Source organism: Homo sapiens, chromosome 1 (assembly GCF_000001405.40).
Source record: "Homo sapiens chromosome 1, GRCh38.p14 Primary Assembly".
Taxonomy (NCBI): domain Eukaryota; kingdom Metazoa; phylum Chordata; class Mammalia; order Primates; family Hominidae; genus Homo; species Homo sapiens.
The window spans coordinates 8455573-8472356 of record NC_000001.11 but is presented as its reverse complement, the minus strand read 5'-3'; the positions used below and the strand labels follow the sequence as shown (position 1 = coordinate 8472356).

Sequence of the window (16784 nt, the reverse complement as noted above, 5' to 3'; positions counted from 1 at the left end):
GTGGTCGTGATCAGGTGTTTAGAATTTGAAATCTACGTAATGTTTTTCACAGTATGAAATTATGGCAATCCTTCAGAACTTGATGTTGTATTAGAGGGGAATGTTTCTAATGGCAATTTTTAGAGATTTAAGATAGCCAGTGTTTTGATAAATTTACCAATTCTACTTTATGTAAGGAATATAGTTGAAATATCCAGTTTAGCTCTTTATTGAACATTATCCTCATCTAAAGAAAGAAAAACTTTGGCTGGGTGCAGTGACTCATGCCTGTAATCCCAACACTTTGGGAAGCCGAGGTGGGCAGATCACCTGAGGTCAGGAGTTCAAGACCAGCCTGGCCAACATGGCAAAACCTCATCTCTACTAAAAATACAAAAATTAGCCGGGCGTGGTGACGTGCGCCTGTAGTCCCAGCTACTCTGGATGCTGAGGCAGAAGAATCACATGAATCCGGGAGGCAGAGGTTGTAATGAGCCGAGATCATGCCATTGCACTCCAGCCTGGGCAACAAGAGTGAGACTCTGTCTTAAGAAGGGTTATTTGGGGCAGGTGCAGTGGCTCATGCCTATAATCCCAGCACTTCAGGAGGTCTAGACAGGAAGAGCACTTGAACCCAGGAGTCTGAGACCGCACTAGGCAGCATAGTGAGTTCCTGTCTCTACAAAAAATAAAAAAAATTAGCCAGGCATGGTGGCGCATGCCTGTAAGCTGAGCTACTTGGGAGGCTGCGGCAGGAGGATTGCTTGAGCCCAGGAATTCAGGCGGAAGTGGGCTGATTGTGCCATTGCACTCTAGCTCAGGCAACAGAGTGAAACTCTTTCTCAAAAAAAAAAAAAAAAGCAACCCCGGGCAGCATGGCAAAACCCTATTTCTACCAAAATACAAAAGTTAGGCATGGTGCACAGCTGTCCTAGTACTTGGGCGGCTGAAGTGGGAGGACTGCTTGAGCCCAGGAGATTGAGGCTGCAGTGAGCCATGATCGTGCCACTGCACTCCAGTGTGGGAGACAGAGCCAACACCCTGTCTCAAAGAGAGAAAAAAAGAAGGGCTATTTGATATATCCCAGCACCTAATAGAGTGCCTGGCATAGTTGAGCACTCAGTAAATGTGTCGAAGGAAAGAAAGATGTCCTGATCGCCAGTAATTTTCCCCAAATGTTGTAAAGGTAAGTTTCCCTATTATGAAGCTGTTGTAGTCCATAACAACTTCTAGTATGTTAAAAGTGTATCTTTAATAAAAAGGCTGGGCGCTGTGGCTGACACCTGTAATCCCAACACTTTGGGAGGCTGAGGCAGGGGGGGATCATGAGGTCAAGAGATTGAGACCATCCTGGCCAGCATGGTGAAACCCCATCTCTACTAAAAATACAAAAATTAGCTGGGTGTGGTGGCGCGCCTGTAGTCCCAGGTACTCGGGAGGCTGAGGCAGGAGAATCGCTTGAACCTGGGAGGTGGAGGTTTCAGTGAGCTGAAATTGTGCCACTGCACTCCAGCCTGGTGACAGAGCGAGACTCTGTCTCAAAAAAAAAAAAAAAAAAAAAAAAGGTATTTCTTTAAAGATGTCTCAGAATTTTCTCAGACAAGATTTCTACAAGGTAGAAGTCAATGTCTATAACATTAAGAAGATAGTGCCCCTTTAGAAAGAGTCCCCTTGGTTCCCTAAGGAGGAAAGAGTCCCTTAGGTTTCCTAAGGAGGAGGGCACACCAGAACAGCCAGTTGACCAAGTTTTGAACTTGCCCCTGTGAAACACTGATGATAGCGCAATAATATTCTTCCTTCATCCATTCAAGAAATATCTCTTTGGGGCTGGGCGTGGTGACTCATGCCTGTAATCCCAGCACTTTGGAGGTGGGTGGATCACCTGAGGTCAGTTCAAGACCAGCCTGGCCAACTTGGCGAAACCCCATCTCTACTAAAAATACAAAAAATTAGCCGGGCGTGGTGGTGGGCGCTTGTAGTCCCAGCTACTCAGGAGGTTGAGGCAGGAGAATCGCTTGAACTGGGAGGCGGAGGTTGCAGTGAGTCGAGATCACGCCACTGCACTCCAGCCTGGGCAACAGAGTGAGACTCCATCTCCAAAAAGAAAGAAAAAAATTTGTCACTTTGGGTAAATAATCCCACACTTTTTACTTCTCAGATGTGTCTTTGTGTAGGGGTGAGGACGGGTAGGGACTCTCAATACTTACTGATAACATGGGAAACTCAGGAATAGGGACTATTTTTTTGAGGAATAGGGATATTTTAAGAGGCCAGCCAGACAACAGGTCAAACAAAAGGAGAGAATCCGCCATTATATAGAGAACAGAGTAGGGAAGGAAGCTCGAGTTACCGTGTCACTGGAATAGCTTCTTCAGGAGAAACTGCCATCTGAAATAAAGTTTTGTGAAGGAAGTAGGAATGCCAGGACTTGTTCAGAGGAGTGCCTCTTTCCCCATTAAGCTCATCACTAGAAATTCAGCTGAGGGGCATTGTGCAGGCTGCAGCCATGCTCTCTAACAAACGGAACAACCACAACGAGATGTTCAACACTTCAGTGGAAGCATCTCTTCCAGCTATAGTTTAAAACTCTTCTTGGTTCACCAAAAGGCCGGAATGCCACAGGGATTAATGATATTTGATTGAGCTTCATCCACTCAGCAGTTTGCTTTTGGAGTGGGCTTTATGTTCTCACGAGCAATTTCCTGGTAGCAGGCACATAAGATTTTATTTTTCTTATTACTATTATTATTTTTTTGAGACGGGGTCTCACTCTGTCTCTCAGGCTGGAGTGCAGTGGCACGATCTCAGCTCACTGCAACCTCTGCCGCCTGGGTTCAAGCGATTCTCCTGCCTGCCTCAGCCTCCCGAATAGCTGGGATTATAGGCCCCTGCCACTGTGCCTGCCTAATTTTTATAGTTTTTTAGTAGGGATGCGGTTTCACCCTGTTGGCCAGGCTGGTCTTGAACACCTGACTTCATGATCCACCAACCTCAGCCTCCCAGAGTGCTGGGATTACAGGCGTGAGCCACCGCGCCCAGCCAAGATTTTGAAATTCAAATTTTTTCCTGTATGTGAGACCAGAGTTTTAATCAAATCTCATTTAACATGGGTAATTTTATATGACACATAAGTGGTTTTTGTTTATAGCTTAACAAAATTTTTTGTTTCTGAGAAGACTACTCTGTAATCTGGAAAGCTGATCACACTTGAGGCCGATTTTTTTTTTCTTTTTAAAAGATGTAGCTAACATATATTTTCTAATATTATCCTCACATGTCGCTAAGAGGTTGATGTTATTATTTTATCCATTTTTAAAGATGTCAAAATTAAGGCACAAAAATGATAAGTAACTCTCTCAAGGTCGCATACCTAGTAAATAGTAGAGCTAGAGTTGGAATCCAGGCAGTTTGACTCCAAAGTCCATAGTTTTTCCTACTTACCCTTTTTTCTTTTTTTCTTTCTTTCTTTTTTTTTTTATTGGAGGCAGGGTTTCACTCTGTCACCCGGACTTGTAGTGCAGTGGTGTGATCAAGACTACTGCAGCCTTAACCTCCCAGGCTCAAGCCGTCCTTTCACCTCAGCCTCCTGAGTAGCTGGGACTGCAGCTGGGACTATAGGCACATGCCACCACGCCCAGCTAATTTCTTAAATTTTTAGTAGAGATGAGGTCTCACTATGTTGCCCAGGTTAGTCTTGAATTCCTGAACTCAATCTTCCTACCTCAGCCTCCCAAAGTGTTGGGCTTACAGGTGTGAGCCACTGTGCCTAGCCTCATACTTTTCTTATAATTACCCCATACAGTATAATTACCTCTTATAAAAGTTGTTAATTTTGCCATGAGCTTTTCATTAAAAATTTATGATTTGATCAACTTCATTTGATTTCAAATTATCACTAAAATGTGTGCTTTTTGCATTAAATAGGCATGTAATTCTTCCTTTTATTCAGTTCCAATCCACGTTGACCTGTGATTATAAACCCCCATTGTGTTATAGAACTTGACAAATGTCTGCTTGTTCTGGATATTAGGCAAAGTATGAGAATCTGACTTTATTTCAGATCTTTTTATACGTCTGAAAGAAGCCTAGGTTGGATAGTTTTCAAACATTTGCAAATCATAATAGTATTTTATTTTTAAAAGAGTCTAATGGTAATAATAAATACGAATTTATTGATAAATAATAATAAAAATAAATAAGTTAATATTTATTCATTGCACCACCACTCCCAAGTGGGATCCAGTATTGATCATTGTTGTAGGTGTTTTGTTTTGTTTTAAGATAGTTGATTTATTCTTATAGCTAATGTACAACCTGGACTTCCCAGTCTTGATTTAAAATAAATTAGTGCCCTCTAAACTGTGAGAATGCTCTGGAAATTCAAATTTTTAATACTTTCTGTTTTGCTGAGTGAGCATTGAAAATGGATGTTTGGGCCGGGTGCGGTGGCTCATGCCTGTTATCCCAATACTTTGGGAGGCCGAGGCGGGTGGATCACGAGGTCAAGAGATCGAGACCATTCTGGTTAACACGATGAAACCCCATCTCTATTAAAAATACAAAAAATAAGCCGGGCGTGGTGGCAGGCGCCTGTAATCCCAGCTACTCAGGAAGCTGAGGCAGGAGAATGGCGTGAACCCGGGAGGCAGAGTTTGCAGTGAGCCGTGATCGCGCCACTGCACTCCAGCCTGGGCAACAGAGCAAGACTCCGTCTCAAAAAAAAAGAAAAAAATAAAAGAAAATGAATGTTTGTGATATTCCTTTTGTTGGCAGTTAAATGTTTGGAAGAGAGACTTGCAGTGTGTGTTTCAGCATTTATTTATTGATTTCATTCAACAAATATTTACCACTGCCAGCTTACTGTGTGCCCAGCCCAGGGGCTCCAGCAGTTGCCAGGAAGGCATCTGCATGTCCTCCGGAGTCTTCTGTTAGAAAGAGGAAACACATGGCTGTCTCCTCTTGTGATTCCATAGGTCTTTGCCTAAACCTAAGCAAGAGTAATTATTACAACCTACTTGATCTTGTCATTTTGTATGTTTTGTATCTGTACCAATTTGTAAGTTTCCTGGAAATAAGGACTGTGACTTATTAAGGTTTATTCTTTACATGTCTTGAATGTTCAGCTTTACTTGACCTGAATGTTCGGCAAATGCTGGCTCATTGTTAAAATAAGAGATTGAAGCACGAGTGAAAAGATCAGAACGTCCACTCCATGAGAACGGGGATCTCTGTGTTGTTTACTGCTGTGTCCCAGAACCTAGTATTTTATTTAGGAAGTTAGCAAGTTTTTCTGGAGTATTACCTTATACTATGGACTGTGTTCAGCACTGGAGATGCAAGTCTTAGACAAAGCCAATCTTTGTGTAAGAAGACTAGATGTGTACAGGAAAGGTGGATTTCCAATGAGAATTCTGAGTGACAGCCACAGTATGGGGAGGTAGATAGAGCAGGAGGATCTTTGTACCTGCTGTTTCTCTACATTATCTGCAAGTTGGAACTCAGAAACTTGGAGTGTCTGGAGCATCTTTGCGAGGTGGGAAGGTGTCCATGGTGCCAGACACTACACAGGGTTGAAAAGACGCAGGGTGAGAAAAGTTGATTAGCTTTGACAAGAAACAAGTCTGGTCCTAAAGGGAATATGTAGATAAACCTGCATCTTTATTCATATGTACTGAAAAACTAGCATACTATTACAGACTTACTTTCTTTAAAAAGCTCTTAAATTTTAGCCACTTTAAATATTTTGTTTTTGTGTGAAATTAGCACAGTCAAAAAACTTAAGAAATGCTAAAAAGAAAGAACATAATCTAGTGTGACTTTACGCTGCTTTGCGGAGAATGAGGCAAGAGTAGGGGTCCTCCTGGCTGGGTTGGAGTCTTGGCTTCACCACCTGCTGGCTCAGTGTGGTGAACATCTTTACTTGATCTTTCTGTGCCTCAGTTTCCTCATCTGTGAAGTAGGGCGATGATAGCTCCTAAACCGTAGATTAAATGAGAGAATACTTTCCCCATAGGATTAAGTAAGATAATGATTGCATGGAATGTCCTGAGCACTGGGCGGGGCCAAACATTCCCTAAATGTTTGCTTTATGGGAATATAGGGGAATCCTATTCCTATCTTTGCCAAAATATTTTCTGCCTTGCCTGCCTCCCTCTCCCAGAGTGAGTAGAATAGGGGTTGGGATAGGGTGGTCTTGGATGAGAACAAATTCCTGCGCCTACTGAAATGATGGAGTCTCAGTGCCCCTTTCCTGACTCTTCTGTGGGAGATAGTCAATGAGGAGCTTGCCTTGGATCGATTGTGTCCTGTCTGTTATTTGGTGCAGTTAGCTAACTATAATTGTTGTTGTTTTAGCTGCATGAAAGCGGTTACGATGCTGGCAAAGCCCTGCAGCGCCTGGTGAAGAAGCCTGTGCCCAAGCTCATCGAGAAGTGCTGGACCGAGGACGAAGTGGTGAGCAGGAACCAGCATTTGCCTTGTGCTCTGGGGCATCGGGCCACCGGCGTCTCAGTGTGTGACCTCCCTGCTGCTCAGGGAAAGCAGAAGCTTCAGTCATGCAGAATGGCTGTCCGTGGCAGCGCCAGGCAGGAGGATGGGGCCCTTCAGCCCCTTAATTGTACAGAAAGACTTGATTTTATTAAGATTAGGCTTCATAGATGTCGGGAAAGATTGTCCAACTTTCATGGAAAGAAAGGAGAAATTGATAGTTACTCCTAAAAAAAGTTAATTTGAACTTGTTTTTGGTGCAAGCTAGCTTGTGATACCTCCCTATTTAAAGACAGCATGTTAAAACCCGTGGACATATAACCTAAAGTAGGGTTGGTGACTTGTCTTTTTTTTAATCATAATTATTTTAGAGAAGGGGGTTTTGCCGTGTTGCTCAGGCTGGTTTTGAACTCCTGGGCTCCATCAGTCCTCTTGCCCCAGCTTCTTAAGTAGCTGGGACTGTAGGCATGCTCTACCATGCTTGGCTTGGTGACTTGTTTTTATAGGGCTTGTAAGACCCCTGACCTCCTTAAAGGACATTGATTACAAGCGGGAAGCAGAGAGTTGATGAAATAAATATGCTGGATTTTACATACTGATTGTATTGCTGTGGCCTGTTGAAGGAAGTGGGGGGAGAGAAATGTGCCCACAGATACAGCCTTGCAAACCCATGGATTCCCATCCAGCAGACAGTTTTAATGAAGCTACATCTCCATCTTGTGACTTGTAAAAGGCATTGCTGTAAACGACTTACGGATTTCTTGTGCTTTTGCAAATACAGTCTTCAGTATGAATGTTACCGCTTGACATTTGCCTTTCAGGTCGAATGAAATTTAAATGAAGGCTGGCACTAATACACCTATTGATTGCAAGTTCCTCTCCTGTATTTTAAAATATGCTAAGAAAGAATGTTTAGAAATTGTATGTGCTTTCCTGATCCCGCTCTTTCATTGATTCAGCAATATTTACTGAGTGCCTGCTTGCGTGCCAGGTGTTGTCCCTCCTTGGGAGTCTTAAGTTTTAAGAGGGGAGACCTTCATAAATGAGTATGTGCCGGGGGTGGTGAAGCAGATACAGAATAGGGTAATGAGGGAGAATCAGCTGGGTGGGGTACTGTCTTAGCTAAGGGAGGATCAGGAAAGTCCTGGTAAGTAACATTTAGATGAGACCTTAGTAAGGTGAGGAAGGCAGCCTTTTGGATATTAGAGAATTCTGGGCCCTAAGGTGAAAGCATGCTTGGCATGTTCAAGAAGTAGGCAGGAATGTTTCTGCAACACAGCAAGGAGGGGAGTGGTGGGAGGGGTGCCCTAGAGGGAGCAGATCAGGTGTGACCTGTTGGCCTGCTGTCAGGGCATGGTGATGTGCCCCACATGAGCAGCTTCTGAACAGAGGAGTGACTTGCTCCGACAGTGGGGCTCACACTGGCCGCTGAGTCCGGTGGTCTCTGGGGGTTGCTGCACACCAGGCTGGGACTGGTGGCTGGGTGGTGTGGCAGCAGTGGTCGTGATAAGAAGCAGCGAGATCCAGGCTGCACCTTGAAGGTAGAGAAAAGAGAATTTGCTCCTAGAATGGCTGTGGGTGAGGGTGGGCAAGGGCTGAGGAATGGGAAAAGCTAGGCGGAGCTGAGATGCACTGAAATGGCCCTAGGGTTTGGTAATGGAGTGCTTGTTGAATAGTTCCTTAAGACTTTAACTTTATCAGACTTACAGAGTTCATGAAGCTGTTTTAAAACAAACAAAACCATAAAAATCTTAACGTTATTATTAAAGAGAAAGAAACATCTTAAACATTTTAAAATGTTTAGACAACGTTAAATTCAGTTTTGAGAAGTCGTAGTGATACTGTTTTTTTACTGTAAGCCTGTTTATGTGAGGAGTGGATAAGAGATCTGATTGACAAGGTTTTAAAATTCTGCGAAAAGCCTGTGTGGAAGAAACACATAAGGAGATGAAAAGGATGGAACAAGTGTATAGACTGTGGTCGTTTAACCACCCTTTGTGAGATTGTCTTCAGTCCTCTCAGCCTGGCCTAGGCGGCCTCAGGGCCTTGTCAGCTTGCAATCCATGGCTGCTTCTGCTTCTGCATTTCCCTCAGTTCCTGGCCATCTCCTCTCTCTTCAGTCTCCATGCCCTTTGGCGTCCTCTCTCCTTCCCCACTTCCCTGCCTCTTCTTGGTGTCTCCCACCCTCCCCACTCCTCACTCATGCCTCCCAGCCCCTCGCTAGCCATGGCTCTCCTCTCTCCCTTCTTTCATTTCTCTTGTGACCTTTCATTCCCTCTGGAATTTTAAAAATACACAGCCAAAGTCCTCTCTTCCTGCTGAAGAGAAAGCTGCTTTCCTTTTCCTGCAGCGCCTGCTTGTAACATCAGGCAGCTGTTGATTGTCTCCCCATTGCTGCTGCTTGAGGATTTGTCGCTGTGAGCTGAGAGGGAAGTTTTGCACATCAGAAAGAGCCTGGTTTATTTTGAAAAACAAAACAGGACTCCAAAGTGGTGAATATTTTGAGTATGGAATAATGATCCTTAACTGTATACATCCGTATCCGTTTGGGGTCATTTTTATCATGTTTGCTTCTTGGTTTGAAAAATGTCTTGGCAGCCATCCAGCCCTTGTAGAGCCTCAGGATCAAATGGTTCCCTTATGTGTAGGAAGTGAAGCTTCACTTTGAAAACCTCAGCAGTGAAGAAGAGAGACTGACTGAATAATTGAGAGGTTGAAGGAAGCTTCTGGTGAATGGATCCAAATCAAATCTTTGAAGAGATTTATGTGGCAACAAGGCAGTCCCCTCTTTACCCTCGCCTGGCTTTGGCTGTGAAAAAACACCTGCTGTGTTCATGTGGCCCCCTTCTGTTAAATTTACCACATTTTCTCACCTCAGGAATCACAGGAATAAGCAAAACAAATGTGTTCCAGCTAACATAAATACATGGGCCTACCTCCCCCTTTTTTCCTCCCAGTTTTCTATATACTTGGAACATTCTAATTATTATTTTTATTATTATCATTACTATTTTTTAAGAGATGGGGGTCTTGCTATGTTGTCCAGGCTGGACTCAAACTGTTGGGCTCAAGTGATCCTCCCACATCAGCCTCTGAGCAGCTGGGACTACAGGCAAGCCACAATGCCTGGCTACTTATTACTAAACTTCGCTGCCGCTGGCATATTAATTTGTTCTAACTACCCAGTGTCTGATCTGACTACAACAGTCTTGATGAACGGGTTTCCCTTGGCATTTTTACATGAATACTTTGAAGCAGCTGCTCTGTGAGAGGGTTGGTGAAATAAGCACCTGAAGGTGTGAGTTCCCTGCTGTGCAGCGGACAGGCTGGGCCTCTGCACCTCCTGGGCCTGGCAGGCCTGCTGCTCTATGAAGAAACTAACCTCTCATGCCAGTGCAGACCCTACTCGTTCTCCAGTCTCAGCTCGGTTCCTGGCCCATCCCGCGGCCAGTGCTCCCTCTTCGCACTGTCTCCCCTCTGCGCGTCACTCGCTTGGCAGTTCATCCTCTGCCTCCTCGTGCTGACTTCTGATCCCCAGCTCTTCATTCCTTGCGGTCTTATTTCTGAGTTGATTGTCCTCCGAGTTTGTAAACTTATTAAGGGTAAGGACTTAATGATGAAGATAGTTTCTCTCCATATGAGAGGCTTGAAGAATATTGATGACTCTTTGTTCAAGGTAATCCTTTTAAAAAGTTCTTCACTATAATTGAGTGTCTTCAATCCAGCATTTTAAAACTTTTAATAGTTAATAGTTATGAATCAGCACATTAAAGAGAAAAACTTTTACATGCCTCAGAAACCAACCTTAAAAATTTTACTTTTGGAGCCTGGTCAACACAGCAAGACCTTGTCTCCACAAAAAAATTAAAAACATAATAAAATAGCTGAACATGGTGCCATGTGCCTGTAGTCCCAGTTACTTGGGAGGCTGAGGTTGGAGAATCGCTTGAGTCCAGGGGTTAGAGGCTGCAGTGAGCCGTGATCATGGCACTGCACTCCAGCCTGGGCAACAGAGCAAGACTCTGTCTCCAAAAAAAATAATAATAATAAAAGTACTTTTGGAAAAAGCTCACACATTAAACTCTTTCTTCTTGTTCTTCCTACTCCTCCTTCTCCTCTTCCTCCTCCTCCTATCACCTGACCTCTTTTTCCTAGGTCTTTCAGATAATCATGAATTCTGGAGATCTTAGACCTCAGAATCACACAATAGGAGGCCTTTCATCTCAAACTCTCAGTTTATTTCTCTGACAGTGTGCGTGTATGATGTTCCTAATTGAAGTTGCTTTGGGGCTGAGACACTTCAAATCTTGAACTGAAGCCAAAATGTGCCAGTTTCTGTCAAATTCTGTACCGGATACTGCAAATTAATTTTGCTTTTGCCGAGTGTCTGTGAGCAACACCTGGGTCATGTCTTTCAGGCTAAGTAAACTTGGTTTGATCAGAGAAGCATTTTGGAAGAAATGCTAGGTCAGTTTGTGAAGCTTTAAATACCAAGGTATGGGTAAGGGTGGAGCCAAAGTAAATGGCTGCCTTCTGCCTCTGAGAGTTACATTGATGGTTAATCAATTTCACATATATTATGCTAAAAATACTGTTCCTTTTCAGGAAGTCATCCAGATTGGTAGAACTTAGGAAGATAAAGAGGAGGAAATAGAGATTAAAACATTAAAAAAAAAAACCCAAACAAAACAAATCTTAGATTATTAGGTTTTTAATTAAACATGATGAACACATTCAAATATAACATAAAGGCCCCAGGCTGAACTGCACCTAATCGAAACAGATTAAGTCACCCTTCCATGCTTGGGTGGTTATTAATTCTGTTTATTTATGCATGCGAGCTGAAGGTAGCATTTGCTGCTGTTGTGTTGGTGCTTATTGCACTGGGATTCCGTTGCCGCTTGATGCTGTGCTCTTAATTAGCATTCAGCTGTTGATTATGGAAATACTGGGGATGCTAATTGAATTCTTTTTAAAATTCAGGGCCTGCATTTTCCTTGTGGAGTTTGGTTTGACTTGCAAGATTGTAAGATTGGGTGCTCCAGTGAGCTGTGCATCTCACTCTTTGCTTCCTATCCACTTAGCTGCGTTTTGGTTTTTAAAATTATTTTCATGTTGAATTCGCTTTCCGCAACAATCCAGGTGTTGCACAAAGTGAAGGTTCTGTTGCTTACCATGTTACTACAGGGTGTTTTTATTTCATCTTGGGTAACTATAGCTTTTATCTTGAAATACACTACCCATTAAATATTTTATATCAATTTTGATGTAATACATTGAGGTGAACAATCTAGATACAAATAAGCTCTGAAATTTTTATCCAAAAATAGTTAATCTGTGGTAGTGATAAACCTTAATTGGCCATGTACATGGATTTATTTACAAGCTCATAAATTTTAAAACATCTAAATCTTCCTTCAATTTAAAGCTCAGTCTATCATAAATATAAATGAAAATCCTTCTTTCAAAATTGACATGAGATGGCAAAGTAATTTTCTAAATATTTGTAATCCAGTGAACCCGTGCGGCCGGTCAAGGAATTACTTACACAGAATACACACAACTATTTGCAGGGTGTCTTTCCCCAGCAGCATCTCCAGATGCCTTTGTTATGCCCTTTTTGGAATGTCTGCTTGAGAAAACATTGTTTTCATTGTTCACTCTTTTCAAGCTAGGCATCTGAATGTGCCAGAAGACGGGGCTGCTTAGTGGGGCAAAAATACAATGAATTTTATTTACTGTTTGCATGGCAGCTGAGGAAAATGGAATTCACAGCAAAATCCCCGTTAAGATCCAATAGCAGCAGGAGGTTGTGGAGGTGAAAACAGCAAGGAGGACAATGACAAAGAGGGAGAGAGGCTCTCAGAGCTTGTAGTTATGGTTACGTGGATTTCAGATACTAATAATCTTGGTGATTTTGTTTTAAAATTTTACATCCACAATATAGGGGAAGGGTTAGTTATATTTATTTTAGGAATGGTAAAATTTCCAGAGTTGTTGACCATTTTATGTAGTCATTCAAAAATGATGATAGGAGAGTCTTGTAGGTCATCTAGTACGAACCTTTTCACTTTCTTATTCTTTTTAGGGTTTTGTGCAGATTGTTTTTTTTATTGTTAGAACAACATCCTAAAATCATTAAAGGGAATTTAAAACCTCACCACTAACACGTCGTCTCACAGTGTCTGGCTTCATCGTCTCATTTGCTGGCTTCTTGCTCTCTTCTGGTCTTTGTTTATGTACGTACGTGGTTTTATGTCATTGTCAACTTACGTATGTGTACAGGTTTGCATACATGTGAGTTGAGTCAGAACATTGAAATTATCTTTCTAAAGAAATTATAACTTGAAAATTTTTACAATTCATTTGGAACCTTTGCCATTAACCCAAAATATAGATACAATGTATCTACTGCATCACATAGTAGGTACTTAGTACATTTTAAATTGAATCACAGTAGATTCTCCTCTCTACTAACCACCCTTCCTCCAGTTTTAAATGACAGTGGTACTGTTTCTTATGAAGAACTAAATTTGTATATATGAGAGTAGGAAAAATAAGAGAAATAGAAATGTTGATATATTACACGTATGTACATATTACTCCATATTATGTATTCTTAATGTGACCTATAGTGAGAATTAGCCCTTAATATTAAAAAAGAAAAATGTAGATTCAAGTGAGATTTGCCTGAAGTTCCAACTATTAATAAAATTGGACTATTTTTCCTATGGTTAATTCCCATCGGCCTTTGAACCAAACCCTTGCTTAAAGAAGTCAATAGTATGGATAGAATGGAGTTTATTGTCAAGTCCTTTCGGAAATGAGACAGCAAATTAAAAATCAATTATATGCACAGAAAAGTTGGTGTAAGGCAGTCAGTTCTGTCAATTAGTTTGCAGAAAGATTCTACTGTTTAACAAGCTCTAAAGAGAAATGTATTTTTAAAACCCTTTAGTAAATGAAATAGGACAAGCATTTTATTAGAAGGGAAGAGATATTTCAAAAATGTATTTCAGTAGTTCATGTCAGTAGAAGTCGCCTCTGGGATAAATGTACAGATTCAGCTGTGACCTTTCCATTCACATCCACGGCTCACTACTTTCTAGGCTTCCTCTTTATGCTGTGGTCAAAGAAGTTAGTATGCCCATTTTGCTCTTTGTGTTTAACAAGATTATTCTTTTCTTAGTGTCTTTAACCGGTACTTTTTTTAAGTCCATCATCCCCAGCCCTACTTTTAGATTAAAAAAATAAAAGCCAGCATACCTTGTGCTGTTCTTTAGGGCCGTGTGTGTGTATGTATATGTGTGTGTGCGCGCATGCGCACACGTCTGTGTTTAGACATCAGGGCTATACAGAGACCTGGAAAGTAACCCCACATTGAATATAAGCACACCTTAAATTACTCCTGGCTGCTTGGGATAATCTTTTTAAATCGAAGAGTACTTTTGACGGTATATTTTTCATTTTTGCTTGAGCGGGGAGTAAGGGGAGTAATGGGGGGAGTCTTCAGCTTGAAAGATTAATAAATACTAGAGCAGTGGGTTATTGAAGCCATGTTTCCATCTCATTTTCAAGGGCATGTAAAAAAATGGAGATAGCATACACTTTCAGCCACTCTCTATCATCTTTCTCTGTTCATTTAAAAAATGAGAACAAGGCACAAGGGGACTTGAGAGATTGCATTTGTTCTCCCATAGACAGTGGTTATTTTATAAACGAAGAGGATGGAAAACCCTTTTCTTGTGCAGTTTCTTAGCAACAGAATTGGAGTCAGTTTTAATGCGTGTGCTTAGAACATTCTACGTATAGTGACATTGGAGTCTTACATTTTCACAGGTGAGACATATTACATTGGTAACTGGAATTGAATGTTGGGAGAAGGAAACAGGAAGTGAAAAATGAGAACCCTACCATGAGAGGAAGTCATTCATTTAAAGCTACCTCCTCTCTCCTGGCATACTTCTGTCTTAAATCTAAAGTCTCCCTTAGGCTAGGCGCAGAGGCTCATGCTTGTAATCCCAGCACTTTGGGAGGCGGAGGCAGGGAGATCAAGTGAGGTCAGGAGTTCAGGACCAGCCTGGCCAACATAGCGAAACACCGTCTCTACTAAAAATACAAAAATTAGCTGGGCGTGGTGGTGCGTGCTTGTAATCTCAGCTACATGGAAGGCTGAGGCAGGAGAATCACCTCCCCAGGAAGCAGAGGATGCATTGAGCCAAGATTGTGCCACTGCACTCCAGTCTGGGTGACAGAGCAAGACTCTGTCTCAAAAAAATAAATAAATAAATATATAAAGTAAGTAAGTAAGTCTCCCTTAGGTAGAAGTAGTGATGGCCTTGGTAGCCCCCTAATTGCCATCTTCACTAGAGTGCCAGCCTATTTTGTATCTTCTCTAGTAGTGTTTTGTTATTCTTTTCCTAACACCCTGCATGCAACTAATTGACACTTAGATTTGATTTTGTTTTTGCACTTGCCTTAAGACATTTTTCCGAAGTACCTTTATATAGGTGAATTCTAGTGTGTTTTCCACATTTATGAGGCAAAGTACTGAGCTATCAGGAAGCAGCATGTGTTTGGTGGTTATAAGGGGAGAAAGACAGTGCCTGATATTGGCCTCACCACCTGAGCATGGGGCCTCAGGATCTGTCTGTCTGGCTCTGCATTCCTTGCAGAGGAGTTTGGTGTCGGTTTGGCTCTTCCTGTGATTGTTGACTGTGTGAACATGAAGATAGAATGATTCCTTCCTACTTACCAAGTTTCTCATTCAGTTCTGATTTTAGCTCACTAGTTGAAATTCATTCATTCTTTCATTCTGGAAATATTGGTAGAGCATTGACACTCTGCCAGGTGATACAGCAGTGAACAAAACAGACAAAATTCTCTGCCTTCATGGAGTTGAGATTGTAGTGGGGAAGGAGGATAGATTAAAACAGTCTTGCTAAGTGACATGTATAGTGTGTTAGTCCTGAAAAAATTAAAAGCAGGAAAGTGATAGGAAATACCAGGTAGAGGGGTTGAACTTTTTCTTAAGGTAGCCATGGAGAGTTCACTTTTGAGTAAAGACCTTAAAAAGTGAGGAAGCTAGCCTTGCAGATACATAGGGGAAGAGAATTCTGGGCCAAGGAAACAGTGCAAAGGCCCTGAGGTGGGAGCATGCCTGAGTGTGTTCCAGGAAGAGCAAAGATGCCCCGGAGTGGATGGAGAAGATGAAGTCGGAAGGCCACCAGGATCTTAGACCAGAGATGTTCACTCCTATTTTGTACCTCACAGTTAAATTACATTATCAAATTAATGAGGAATTCTTGAGGGCTGTTCTGTTTTCTCCTAACATTGTATCTCTCATAACAGTGTTTTTACGGCTTCAGTTATGTAGGACTCTGAGTCATGCATTCCTCTGACTTCTGCAGCTGCTCATTGTGTCAAGATTGAAGCGTTTTTGTTTTGTAACTGGTTTAGACAATATTTACTACATAAGTTTACTATAAATTCAGCATTTGTGAGAGGAGCTGTTTTTCCTGAGTAGGAGCAAGAAAATACCTGGAAAGAAAAGTGTACCTGCTCTACCTCTATCTTGGAGCAGTCATTACTCTTGTTATCAGCCTGTCCTGACAAATTTTAATTCAGGAAGTGAACACTGTGGAAAACTTAAAACTGTAGATGTCATGCTCTGAATTATAACACCTAATGAAAAGAGTCATCTCAAAAATCTTCCTTTCTTGAGTCAAATACCCTGGCTTTGAGACTCAGCTCAGGGGAGAGTCCCTCTAATACTGCTGTTTGACAGAAGAGGCCAGCTTCCCTTGTCGGCCGGCATTTGCTTGCTCTAGGCCTGTGGTGATTATTCTTAATGTCTGGAGGATGGATGCTACGTGCACTGACTAACTAGAATGCTGGGCCAAGCTTAATGTTCCCTAGTAGTGTTCTGATATTCTTCTTTCCCCAACACTCGTTCTTCTGAGAGGTTAGGGTGCTCACGAGGCACTTTAGAATGAGGAGTGGCCCATGACTGATGAAGGCCGGGACGTCACTGCATTTTGCAGGCCCTGCTGCACCAGGTTGGTTTGACAAGTTCATTTAGGTGCCTCCACACAAAACTAGGAAGTCTTGAGGGCAGGGTTGTAGTTTAATTCTTTTTGTATTCACAGAACCTGGCCCAGCACCTGGAGCAGGATTGATAATAAGAAAATATCATTTGAGTGGGTGGAACAGAAGAGAAACCTCACATTGCTTCAGTGCAGTGACCTCTTTGGCTGAGCTCTTGAGCTGCCACCGTCTAGGGAGAATTAATTAACTGGATGTGTCCCTGTTCTTTTCCT

The 16784-nt window shown here is 42.1% G+C and overlaps 1 protein-coding gene across 2 annotated transcripts in view, besides 1 other annotated feature; it reads left to right on the top strand.

Annotated features, from left to right (window-relative positions):
- RERE (arginine-glutamic acid dipeptide repeats) overlaps positions 1-16784 on the top strand; it is a 465237-nt gene that overhangs the window by 345284 nt on the left and 103169 nt on the right. For both annotated transcript variants that reach the window (NM_001042681.2, NM_012102.4), the window contains one exon: positions 6334-6432. In NM_001042681.2, the coding sequence (NP_001036146.1) occupies positions 6334-6432 (99 nt within the window). The remainder of the gene's footprint in view (positions 1-6333; positions 6433-16784) is intronic.
- Positions 11832-12729: an enhancer, noted in NCBI's record as "OCT4-NANOG-H3K27ac hESC enhancer chr1:8519688-8520585 (GRCh37/hg19 assembly coordinates)". NCBI's record gives its function as "activates a minimal SCP1, AML or CMV promoter by ChIP-STARR-seq in naive H9 embryonic stem cells {active_cell/tissue: H9 hESC(naive)}" and the evidence as "EXISTENCE:reporter gene assay evidence [ECO:0000049][PMID:30033119]".